Below are 12,088 nucleotides of genomic sequence, written 5' to 3' on the forward strand. Positions count from 1 at the left end.
TTCTCCCTGAAGAGGAGGATGCTGTTAGCCAGTAACAATCTGGCTTGCCTTGGGAATGCATTAGCTTTTGATTTTTGTGCTTACTGCACAAAGAGGTACTGTGTAATTATTCTTTCTGGTGATCCAGTCGCTCAATAGATGCCCATTAACTAGAGATTATACATGATTGGATTTTCCCTTTTGAAGCTCCCACCTAATGGCTAAATGGAAACTTAATGAGAAGGGGAAGTGGGCTAGTTGTGCTCTGAAAAGAGTAACAACTCATTTATGGATAGCAGTCTCTCTAAATTCCTTCCAAAACCTAAAATTATAAGACTGGGGTATAAAATTTAAACAACATTTGTCTCATAGTATTATTCAAAAGGATATTATAGATCTATTTAAGGTATCAGTGTTTTACAAGATCCTGTTTGTTGTCTTTAGGGAATAAGCCTCTCTCAAATTTTCCCTATTTTTCCTTTATGTTCTACAAGTCCTAAAATGTTTGGACTATTTATACAGTATTTCCAAACAATCCATTTGAAAATACCAATGTAGGTAATGATGTAAGAATCACCACTGAACACTAGCTGCTCTACAGGTCACAAAACTGGCTCTGATCAGGAATGCAGTATGATGGAGTAGGAAAGTCAAAGGCTTTGAAGCCAAAGAGAAGTTGGATTCCTGATTTGGTCACTCATTCTGTGTGTGTGTGTGTGTGTGTGTGTGTGTGTGTGTGTGAGCCTGAGCAAGTTCTTTTACCATGGGAACAAATACAAACACACAGAGTTGTTGTGGGGATGGAGACTGCCCTACACAATGCTTAGTGCATAATGGGTATTCCAAAAAACATTACTTCACTCTCCGATTTGAAGATGCTACTTTTCACTGTGGCATTATTCACAACAGCAAAGACTTGGAACCAACCCAAATGTCCATCAATGATAGACTAGATTAAGAAAATGTGGCACATACACACCACGGAATACTATGCAGCCATAAAGAAGGATGAGTTCATGTCCTTTGTAGGGACATGGATGAAGCTGGAAACCATCATTCTCAGCAAACTATCGCAAGGACAAAAAAACAAACACTGCATGTTCTCACTCATAGGTAGGAATTGAACAATGAGAACACTGGAGACACAGGAAGGGGAACATCACACACTGGGGCCTGTCGTGGGGTGGGGGGAGGTGGGGGGATAGCATTAGGAGATATACCTAATGTAAATGACGAGTTAATGGGTGGAGCATACCAACATGGCACATGTATACATATGTAACAAACCTGCACATTGTGCACATGTACCCTAGAACTTAAAGTATAATTTAAAAAAAAAATGAGAAAAAAAAAAAAAAAGATGCTACTTTTCCCCTGTGTTATCTTCTTATGCTTTTCTAATTTCAGAGATTTTGACAGGATGCTCCAGATGGCCGCCTATGGGGAAAACCTGACTTTCTCAGTAAAATCTTATAAACCCCACAGCATCAAGGTCCACAATGAGGGAGAGGGACAGGAGGGTGGGGCTCTATGTGAAAATCAACCATGAGCTAGAGAGGAAGGCAGTGTGTCCAAGAGTCCAAAACAGGACTGGAGTGGTGAAAGCAGTAAGTAATTCTGAATGGGATGAAGAACAAGGAAACAAAGGTAGTATTTATGGAGGTCTCTCCATGTAATCTTTTCATTGCTATCTTGAAGGGACCTAAGAGTTTAAAGCAAGCAGGTTTCCTCAGGGGAATAAAGAAAGGGGGAGCAGTGACTCAGTACAGCATCCCCTGAGTTTGGTAGTTACAAAGCCGTCTTGCAAGGCCACAATGTCTGGGTTCTAAGAGTGGTAAGGAGAACAAATGGCTGGAAACATGAAAGGTGGAGCACGGAAAGGAATGAGGAATTAAGTGGAAGAGAGATGGGAAGTCAGTCCCCACCCCATGTCTCCAGGTACTGCAGAGGAAACATATGAGGGATGTATATATGGTTTTGTTTTGTTTTCTGTTTTTTGTGGGGTTTTTTTGTTTTGTTTTGTTTTTTAAATACGGAGTCTTGCTCTGTCGCCAGGCTGGAGTGCAACGGTGTGATCTCAAATCACTGCAACTTCCACCTCCCGGCTTCAAGCGATTCTCCCGCCTCAGCCTCCCAAGTAGCTGGGACTACGGGCACACACCACCATGCCCAGCTAATTTTTGTATTTTTAGTAGAGACAGGGTTTCACCATGTTGGCCAGGATGGTCTCGATCTCTTGAACTCGTGATCTGCCCGCCTCAGCCTCCCACAGTGTTGGGATTACAGGCATGAGCCACTGCACCCAGCCAAGAGATGTATATATGTTTTAAACTAAAAGCTTTTGAAATATAGGAGCCAGAATCCTCCAGAGCTATTGTGACCTAAACCACCTTAATATTTTCTTTACTTAAGATGGAAACACAAGAAATGTCAGACTTCCCTGTACACTATACATGAAACAACTCTTCACAGTGAGAAAATTTCACTCTTCATTTATTCCAAAACAGAGAAATGATGTTTACTTATATGGTTGATAAGGAAACAACCCCCTGAAGAAAATAGCAGCTATTGCCTTAAGGCTTCATAAAGAAGGCTAGACATACAATTTAATAAAATTGTTTTTAATAAAACCATGGGGGCTGCAATAGTTCTCCCATCCTACATACTTTTCCACTTCTTTTATAAAGGTTTCAGAAGACACCAAAGGGAAAATGCTGCTCTCAAGTTACACTGACCAGAGGATCCAGAGGATTCCAGGCAATGCAAAAGATGTCTGGAGAAAAAAGCATCCAAGAGTCTAATTAGGTTTAGAAATTAGAGAAATGCTATACACATCCTTGCACTCTAGACTCACTCTGTGTGTGTGTGTGTGTGTGTGTGTGTGTGTGTAAATATATATATTCAATTCAGAGATATATTTTATATATATGTCTCTCAGAAGTTACAATACACTCCATTAAGATACAAAAGGTTCTATAATATACTATTATTTTAAAATTAGGTTAAATTCATTTAATCCAACTTTCCCAAGTTTGTTGGACATGGACAGCCCCCATTTTATAATAATATCTATTAATAATAGCTCAGCACATATTGGCAAACACTGGACTAGAGCAACAGCCTGGCGTAATTCCTTCCTCTCTCTTCACCAAATACTTTTGGGAGACAAAGGAAACACCCACTTTGTTAAATACAATACAGTCCTCTCCTATTCCCCATCATCTTTCTCAGCCTGCTACAGGTTGAGCATCCCACATGCAAAAATCCTAATTCCAAAAGTATAATACAGATATTCTAAAATCTGTACATTTCCAAAATCAGAAACACTTTTGGTCCCAAGCAGATAAGGGATACTCAATCCGTACACAGGGTCGCAGGAATAAGTGGTGATGGCAAAAATAGAAAATTCTCTTATGGAAGCTATAATTTTTTTAATCACTTTGAATTTTATTCCTTAAAGGCAAGAGACAAAAGGTCACAGGTTCAAGGGTGAGGTAAGAAAAAACAATGAGCTTCCCAAGAGAAAAGAAAGGTCATTTCCTATATCCAAACTCTCATGTGAAACCATGGCCAATCTGAGAGTTGAAATCCTCTTTAAGTCTCCAACACTTATGAGAAGGAAAAGTTATTTGAAATACCAACCAGTTTACTTTCTACCCTTCTCATCATTTCCTTCCTCTTATGTCTACCAAGGAGCATCACACGTAAATAGATTACAATGCAGACCCTCCTATTATTCTGATACTACTACCAATCAAAGATATAACCTAGGAAGAAGAAGCTAGACTCTCAGGCAGATCAATTTTAGTACTATTACCATTTTGAGATGGATATTTCTTTGTTGTGGGGCTGCTGTGTGCATTATAGAAGGTTAGCAGCATCCTTGGCCAGTGCCTGTGCCAGGAGCATTCCACACCCTCTGAACTGTGAGAATCAAAAATGTCTCCAGATCGCCAAATGTCCCAGGGAAGGGGGCTAAATCACTCTCTCCACTTGAAAACCAGTGCTCTAGGGATGTGGGCTCCTAAACTTGACACCGTGGGAGAATATACTAAGGCACTACCATCTCAGGCCTGGCCCTTCTTTCTCCTTAGCCATCTTTCCTTGGCCCGTGTGACAGTCTGTGATGCTATTCACATACATCCTGACCTCGCCATGGTAGGGTAATTCACGAAGTATGTTGATATCTAAATTCAGGGCTACGTCCTGCTTGCCATTAAATTCATATTTGGAAAACCATGGTTATCAGTGGTTCTTTACTAGAGGTCCATGGACTTGGGGCATGAATGAGGACTATAAATAACAGGAAGCCATATATATACAGCTGATCATGGAGCAGATGGAGCCTAGGCATACGTTTTCCTTTCAAGTTCTCCAAGTAATTCTGATCTATCTCTGCTCAAAAATCATTGCTATGGCAAAATGATGCAGCCCATGTGGTAGCACCAACCTAAGTAAGGAAGCTGCACTGATGGTATCATGACAGACTCCATCCCAATATGTGATATTTCATAACTACCAAATACCACAATACTCTAACGCCTGTTCCTGGGTGTCTTTTACAAGGAAAAATTATGAAACCAGTCATTCACTGGATATTAAAAACATGACCAACTATATACCTTATCAAGTAGCTCCAAAGAAGAATAGAGAAAATAATTGTTATTTAATGATTGCCTATGATGGTCAGGCATTGTGATAGAAACTTTATATAAATTACCTTTAATGATGACCTTGTATGATAGCACCTATATCCTGTTTTACACATTGGGGGAACCATAGCTCAGAAATGTTACACAACTTGCCTTGGGTTACACATCAAAAAGTACCAAGATTCAAAGCTAGACTCTGTAAGACACTACCTTCCCAGTTAGACTGCATATATATTATAGCTATTTGCAGCACAATGAAGATCCTAATCTTGTTTCAAAGACACTCTTCCCACCATCACAAAGAAAACACAGGCTGGGCGCAGTGGCTCATGCCTGTAATCCCAGCACTTTGGGAGGCTGAAGTGGGCGGATCACTTGAAGCCAGGAGTTCGAGACCATCCTGGCCAACATGGTGAAACCCCATCTCTACTAAAAATACAAAAATTAGCCAGGCATGGTGGCACATGCCTGTAGTCTCAGCTACTTGCTACTTGGGAGGCTGAGGCAGAAGAATCTCTTGAACCCAGGAGGCAGAGGTTGCAGTGAGCGAAGATCGCACCACTGCACTCCAGTCTGGGCAACAGAGCGAGACTCTGTCTCAAAAAACAAAAAAAAAGAAAAGAAGAGAAAACACAGGCACAGTTACTCTGTCTTCATAAACTGAATTCTGAACATAAGTGGAAGTAGCGTAAGCTTCCATTCTAGGGATGACTGGTTTGGATGGTGTCTGGTTAGTTCATTTAGTCAGGTCTCCATTATCCTCAGAGTCAGATTTGGAAACTTCATGCCAACTGATCACAGATATGTTCGGTGAAGGAGGATGGGAAGCATAATCAAATTCCACACCGCTATTTAAAAAAAAAAAAAAAAAACCCTGAAGGGCTGGGCACAGTGGATTTACTCCTGTAAATCCCAGCACTTTGGAGGCCGAGGGAGGAGGACTGCCTGAGGCGAGGAGTTTGAGACCATCCTGCACAACACAGTGAGACTCTATCTCTTAAAAAAATTTAAAAATAAGCCAAGCCTCGTAACTATTCAGGAGGCCAAGGCAAGAGGATCTCAGAAGTTTGAGGCTTCAATAAGCTAAGATCATGCCAATGCACTCCAGCCCGGGCAACAGAGCAAGCTTCATCTCTATAAAAAAGCAATAATACTAATAAACAAAATAAAAAATAACTGAAAATACATATAGTGTGTTTTTTTAATATGATAAACAGATTAGCAAAAGTAACTTTCCTTTTTATCTGTGCATTTTCATGAACATGGCGACCCCAATGCAAAAAGTCTTCGCCCTGGGAAACGAATGCATTCTAGGTAGCCGAGATGTAAATTACATTTCTGAAACTGAATTCTATATAAAACCAAACAAAACCTGAGAAAGTGGACCCCATTGCATCATCATTCTAAAACAAACAAACAAAAAAATCCCACAATATTGTGACTTGAAAACTTGTCAAGATGTTTTCATCAACTGGGTAATTTAGTACAGCAATACTGTGTCTGCTATGGAATCTCAGCTACCACTTAGAATTCATTCTTTCTTCAGAGCATTTCAATAATCCTAGAATCTCTTCTGTACATTCCCCCTTCTCTCTTTCATACCAATCAACGGAAGTGGTAGGCTGGTTCCAATGACCTAGCCTCCAGTTTCATTTAGTTTATGTATAGGTACAACAGGCTCTTAGCAGTGATATATGTTTAACATAGGAGCCACGAACTGACACAGAATATATTTCAATTGGAAAACTCTCTACTTTGAGAATTATATGAGGAATCAATTTCCTGCTTTAAAAATGCTGCAAATTCTGCATTAAGTAATTAACAGTTAAGAGTCACACAGCTAGTAAATGAGAGACACAGGATTCAGACCTAAGCCTGTTCTACTCAGAAATCAATGTACTTTCCACACAGAAAAATGTGTCTTAGGTGTTTTCCAACTGCTGGTTTTGGCCTATGAAATCAATTTAATAGACTGCAAGCAGAATGTTTTAATAAAACAAAGCTGAATTGAGAAGATCCCCTACACACAAAGGTAAGCAAAATAACAAATTCATATAAAAAAGCCTAAAAGAAATGAGCAAAAACATAGAAAAATTCAAATTAAAAGGAAAGCAAGGGTCTTTATTGCAAGGAGAGCAATATTTACATTTTAAATCTCTGAAAAGCAAGATTCAAAAAGAAGAGTGCTTTTTAAGAGTCAGGGTTCCACTTTGTCACCCAGGCTGAAGTACAGAGGCATGATCATAGCTCACTACAACCTCGAACTCCTGGGCTCAAGCAATCTTCCCACCTTAGCCTCCTGAGTAGCTAGGACTACAGGTTCACATCATAACACCCAACTAATTTTTTAAAATTTTTCAGAGACAGGGTCTTGCTATGTTGCTCAAGCTGATCTCAAACTCCCAGGCTCAAGTGATCCTCCTGTCTCAGCTTCCCAAGTCACTGGGATTACAGGTAAGTCACCACACCAAGCAACAGTACATAAAGGGGAAAAGTTGGAAACAAACAAACAAGGGAGGGAGGGAGGGAGGGAGGGAGGGGCTTGATTTACTAGATATATCTCAAACTTTCTACCCAATAAGAGACTACATATTATTCTCAATTTTCCATGGAGCATTTTGTAAAAACTGATATAGGTCACAGAAGAAAATTCCAAATATAGTTAGAAATCAGGAACAGATTATTACATATTTAAGATTAGGCCAAGTAGAAAAATCTAAATATATTCCGCCAATTATTACTTGCTATAAATTCCAAAGATAAATACATAGAACAATGACTGGTAAAGGCAAACCAAACAGCTTTTCATTGTTCTTGTTACCTACACGTAGGCCCCTAAAACCCAAATCTTGCCAACACATTGCTGGGAATTAAAATCACTAGAAAGCCAGAAGTATTCATTTTGAAAAAGAAGAGATAAATTTGTCTAAAATAGCAGTTCCTATCTCTCAAACAAACAAGGCAATTCAGAAGGAAGAAGGCCATATGTGCTCATACATTAACACAACCACCATCAAACAGCTTGACTGGAAATCTTCTCCCCTCTCCGGACAAACACTAAAATATAGGAATATACCAGTTATTTTCTTTCTGCCATCTCATAAAAATGTAAACCACTAATAAATTTTAAATCCATTAGGAGTTTGGTTGAAATTTGTTATATGGATTATTATAATACAGTAAGTTCTCTTCTAATTAATCTAAACTGTAGTTCCACTCAAATTTGTAACAAGTATTTCATTGTTATTGACATTATACGACAAGAAATGATACCAAAAATACCTTAAAGAATGAATGTGGACGAATGTTTTTCTTCTTTTTGTCATCACCAATCGTGTGTGTGCGTGTGTGTGTGTGTGCGTGTGTGTGTGTGACAGAGTCATGCTCTGCTGCCCAGGCTAGAGTGCAGTGGCACAATCCCAGCTCACTGCAACCTCTGCCTCCGCGGTTCAAGCAATACTCGTGCCTCAGCCTCCCATGTAGCTGGGACTACAGGCGTGCACCACCATGCCCGGCTAATTTTGTATTTTTAATAGAGATGGGGTTTCGTCATGTTGGCCAGGCTAGTCTCGAACTCCTGGCCTCAAATGATCTGCCCGCCTCAGCCTCCCAAAGTGCTGGGATTACAGGCTGAGTCACCACACCCAGCCTGGATAACAAAGCTTTTAATCAATTTTTAGTTAGACTTTTTCTTACTGATTTCTAGAAATTCTATATATATTCTAGAATGAACTCCTTTCTCAAATATATTATTACAAAGGTCTTCTCTCAATCTGTGGCTTAACTTTTCATTCTCTTAATGGTGTCTTTTGATAAACAGAAGTAATAAAGTTTAATGAAGTTTAATTTGTCAATTGTTTCCTTTCTTATTTATGCTGTCATCTTGCTCAAGAAATCTTTTTTCTTCTAACGTCATAAAGATATTCTTCCACACCTAGGTTTTATTTTACCTTGTACATTTTCATTTAAAATTCATCTTTACTGATTTTTAAGTAAAGCAGAAATTAAGATTCATATTTTTAAATTTTAAGTCCATGTTTTTCCAACTGGAGACTGCAATCCATTATAGTTTAAAATATCAATTTAAGGGATAACCAGCATTTTTTTTAAAACTGAAATAGAATAGAGCACATATTATATCCTCTACTTCATCAATTCTAAGATGTATTTTTTTTTTTCACATTTTAACGTCTCTGAAATAGAGATGTTTCTTATAATCAATATCTTACAATTAAAAATGGCGGCAATTTTCCTGACTATACAGACATAACACATACACACGTGATAGCAGCAGAAGGCAGACAAAATCCTAGGCAGACAGGGGAGGGTCCGCGGTGAAACCCCACCTTTTTTTTTTTTTTTTTTTTTTTTTTTTTTTTTTGAGACAGAGTCTTGCTCTGTTGCCCAGGCTGGAGTGCTGTGGCACGATCTCAGCTCACTGCAACCTCCGCCTCCTGGGTTCAAGCAATTCCCTGCCTCAGCCTCCCGAGTAGCTGGGACTACAGGCACCCGCCACGACACCCAACTATTTTTGTATTTTTAGTAGAGATGGAGTTTCACCATGTTGGCCAGGCTGGTCTTGAACTCCTGACCTCGTGATCCACCCACATCGGCCTCCCAAAGTGCTGGGATTACAGGAATGAGCCACTGCACCCAGCCAAAACCCCACCTTCAAGCTAAAAACAGCCTGAAGCCTGAAGACAAGGCTGCTGGTTCTGGATGAAGCCCACGACCCAGAGTGAGAATTTCTATTCCTGTTTGCCAGCTCTTTCCCAATTGTTTCTTTCTGGATAATGCCTTTTAATCAAACATTGCCTTTTCCAATGCTACTTACTGCCCGCACCTCTCCCATTCTGTGACTATTAAAAACCCTGAACTCAGCCACACTGGGGGACTATGCCCATTTTGAGTGCCCTCTCCGCTGAGAACTGTTTTGTCGCTCAATAAAACTTTCCGCCCTGCTCACCCTCTGGTTGTGAGCATAACCTCATTCTTCTTGGATGCGGGACAAGAACTCAGGACCTACCGAACATGGGTAGGTAAAACGCTGTAATACTGTAGCCCTCCACCCTCTGCCGGTGCCAGGCAGCAGCCCCGCATGACAGGAAGCAGCCACGGGGCCAGGCCAGCCCAGGAGCCGTGGGCCAGAGCAGGGCGACAGGATTAAATGAGCTGTAACATAAGTGGGCTGAAACACGTCCCACCCCCCCACCCCCGCTGATTGGTAGTGCTGCAGAGAGGAGAGAAGAGCTACAACCCTTCTGGGGCCCCAGACCTCGCCACTCCCAGAGCCAGAGTTGCGACATGCTGTAACACCCTCTTTGGGGTCACGCGGATGCTGGTGTCTCCAAAAGTTTCAAGTGCCACCGCATTCCCCCTTGTCTAGATGCCGGTGCCCAAGGCAGAAGCAGGCTACAGCACGCCTGGCCCCGGCACAGACTGAGTGCGGGATCAGGGCCAGGGCGCTAAGAGCAGCCCACCAGGCCAAGTGGGCAAGATACCTCCAACAGCAAGCCCAGGGCGGAGCGCGGCCCTGGGCAGGGGCACTGCCAGCTGCAAAGTCTCCAGCTGGCGAAGCAGCACAGAAAACATCCTGCATCACATGCATATATATAAAAATTACCACACACACACTAGGTATAAACATAAATTTCATTTCTTACATTGAAAACCCCTGAAAAACCCTGCTAAAGGTTAGCAGAGTATAATAAATCCCATACTAAAAGTTACTACCTTTTCAGTTTGCTTTCAATTCTAATTTCATCAAAAGATATTTTCACACCTCTCTAATATCTGCCATCACCTGTTTTTAACAAAAAGAGCCAGGCTACTGTTCAATTTTCTGTAAAAAACAAACAAACAAACAAACAAAAAAAACAGTATCTGGCTAAAACGTCATATGGGTTTTTGGTTTTTCGTTTTGTTTTATTTTGTTTGAGACAAAGTCTTGTCCTGTCACTCAGGCTATAGTGCAGTGGCATGATCATGGTTCACTACAGCCTCAGTCTCCTGAGCTCAAGCAATCTTCCAGCCTCAGCCTCCCAAGTAGCTGGGACCACAGGTGCATGCCACCGTGCCTGGCTAATTTTTTTATTTTTCTTTTATGGAGACAAGATCTCAGTATGTTGCCCAGGTTGGGGTTTTTTAATGGTATTTACTTTTACACTAATCTACGCCAGTAAGCACCACTGATTTTCCAGTCATGTAGTGATTACAGTTCCCTTTTCTGATTTACTTTACAAAGTAGATTTTTAAAACATGGTCAGCAGGTAAAAGAACAAATGGTGTGCAGACATGTCAAAAATTGTGAGGTTTGTACTCAAACTGCCCAAAGTCAGGGAAACACTATTTTAGAAGAACAATGATAGGGGAAAAGGCCTAAACTATTTTAAGTGGGAAAAAAGCAAGTCACAATATATCTGTACAATCTCATCTTTACAAATAAAATTTATTTTACTATTTACAAAAGCAACCATGTGCTTACAATATTATCTCTGTAATTTTTATTTGATTTTTGCTTACTTATCCTACCTAAATTTTCCTTAAAGTACACACGTATCTTTTTAACAGCAAGGAAAAGTGATTTTGAAGTTAAACTTTAAAAGTAAGTAAAAGATTCACACCAAGACCCCAGATATATATGCTGTGGTCTAGGGAAACAGAAACTCTTACTGAAAGGTCCAGCAGTGCTGTATTCCACTTGACCTCTCTGTGCCTATGTCCTCATCCACAAAACTGAGGTGAAAACAGGGCCTCCCTGGCAGAGTAAGTGAGAAAATTTTAAGAGATAATCCTGGCACCCAAGCAGGGCTCTGACACAGTTTGCATCTGTGTCCCCACCCAAACCTCTTGTCAAATTGTAATCCCCATTGTTGAAGGTGAGGCCTGGTGGGAGGTGACTGAATCATGGGAGCGGTTTCTCATGGTTTAACACCAACCCCCTTGGTGCTGTCGTGGCATGAGTGAGTGAGTTCTCACGAGACCTGATTGTTTAAAAGTAGCACCTCACCACTCTCTCTTCCTCCTGCTCCGGCCACACGAAGTGCCCGCTTCCCCTTCGCCTTCTGCCATAATTGAAGCCAAGCAGACGCTGCCATGCTTCCTATATAGCCTGCAGAACCATGAGCCAATTAAACCCCATTTCCTTATCAATTACCCAATCTCAGGTATTTCTTTATAGCAGTGTGAGAACAGACTAATAGAGGCTCCTTTAGTCAAATTTAACTTCCATAAGGCAGAGATATTTGGTTGTATTATTCAATCTGTATCCTTAGCACTTAGAATAATTCCCAGCATACTACTTAAGTACAGAGGTATAATAAATATCTATTGATAAATATTAGCTACACACTTCAGTGCAGTGGGAAAAGAATGGTCTTTTAAATAAAAGACTCTATCAACTAGATATTCTTAACATATTTTGGGCCCTACCCTCTCACATGCATACAAAGAAATAC

General features: G+C 40.6%; 1 protein-coding gene across 13 annotated transcripts in view, besides 3 other annotated features; it reads right to left on the reverse strand.

The window, feature by feature from the left end:
• Window positions 1-12,088, reverse strand: part of FBXW11 (F-box and WD repeat domain containing 11) — a 145,090-nt gene that overhangs the window by 53,383 nt on the left and 79,619 nt on the right. The window contains exon 1 of one of the 13 annotated variants that reach the window (XM_005265857.2): window positions 1,524-1,536. The exons of the other annotated variants lie outside the window; for them this stretch is intronic. Within the exon in view, the coding sequence (XP_005265914.1) occupies window positions 1,524-1,526 (3 nt within the window). The 5' untranslated portion in view covers window positions 1,527-1,536. Of the gene's footprint in view, window positions 1-1,523; window positions 1,537-12,088 lie in introns of those variants that run through there. 13 annotated transcript variants of the gene reach the window in all.
• Window positions 7,595-8,095: an enhancer, noted in NCBI's record as "H3K4me1 hESC enhancer chr5:171349530-171350030 (GRCh37/hg19 assembly coordinates)". NCBI's record gives its function as "activates a minimal SCP1, AML or CMV promoter by ChIP-STARR-seq in naive H9 embryonic stem cells {active_cell/tissue: H9 hESC(naive)}" and the evidence as "EXISTENCE:reporter gene assay evidence [ECO:0000049][PMID:30033119]".
• Window positions 8,096-8,596: an enhancer, noted in NCBI's record as "H3K4me1 hESC enhancer chr5:171350031-171350531 (GRCh37/hg19 assembly coordinates)". NCBI's record gives its function as "activates a minimal SCP1, AML or CMV promoter by ChIP-STARR-seq in naive H9 embryonic stem cells {active_cell/tissue: H9 hESC(naive)}" and the evidence as "EXISTENCE:reporter gene assay evidence [ECO:0000049][PMID:30033119]".
• Window positions 11,271-11,330: an enhancer, noted in NCBI's record as "active region_23616". NCBI's record gives its function as "activates an Ori minimal core promoter by ATAC-STARR-seq in GM12878 lymphoblastoid cells {active_cell/tissue: GM12878}" and the evidence as "EXISTENCE:reporter gene assay evidence [ECO:0000049][PMID:35858748]".

This window comes from Homo sapiens, chromosome 5, assembly GCF_000001405.40.
Source record: "Homo sapiens chromosome 5, GRCh38.p14 Primary Assembly".
Taxonomy (NCBI): domain Eukaryota; kingdom Metazoa; phylum Chordata; class Mammalia; order Primates; family Hominidae; genus Homo; species Homo sapiens.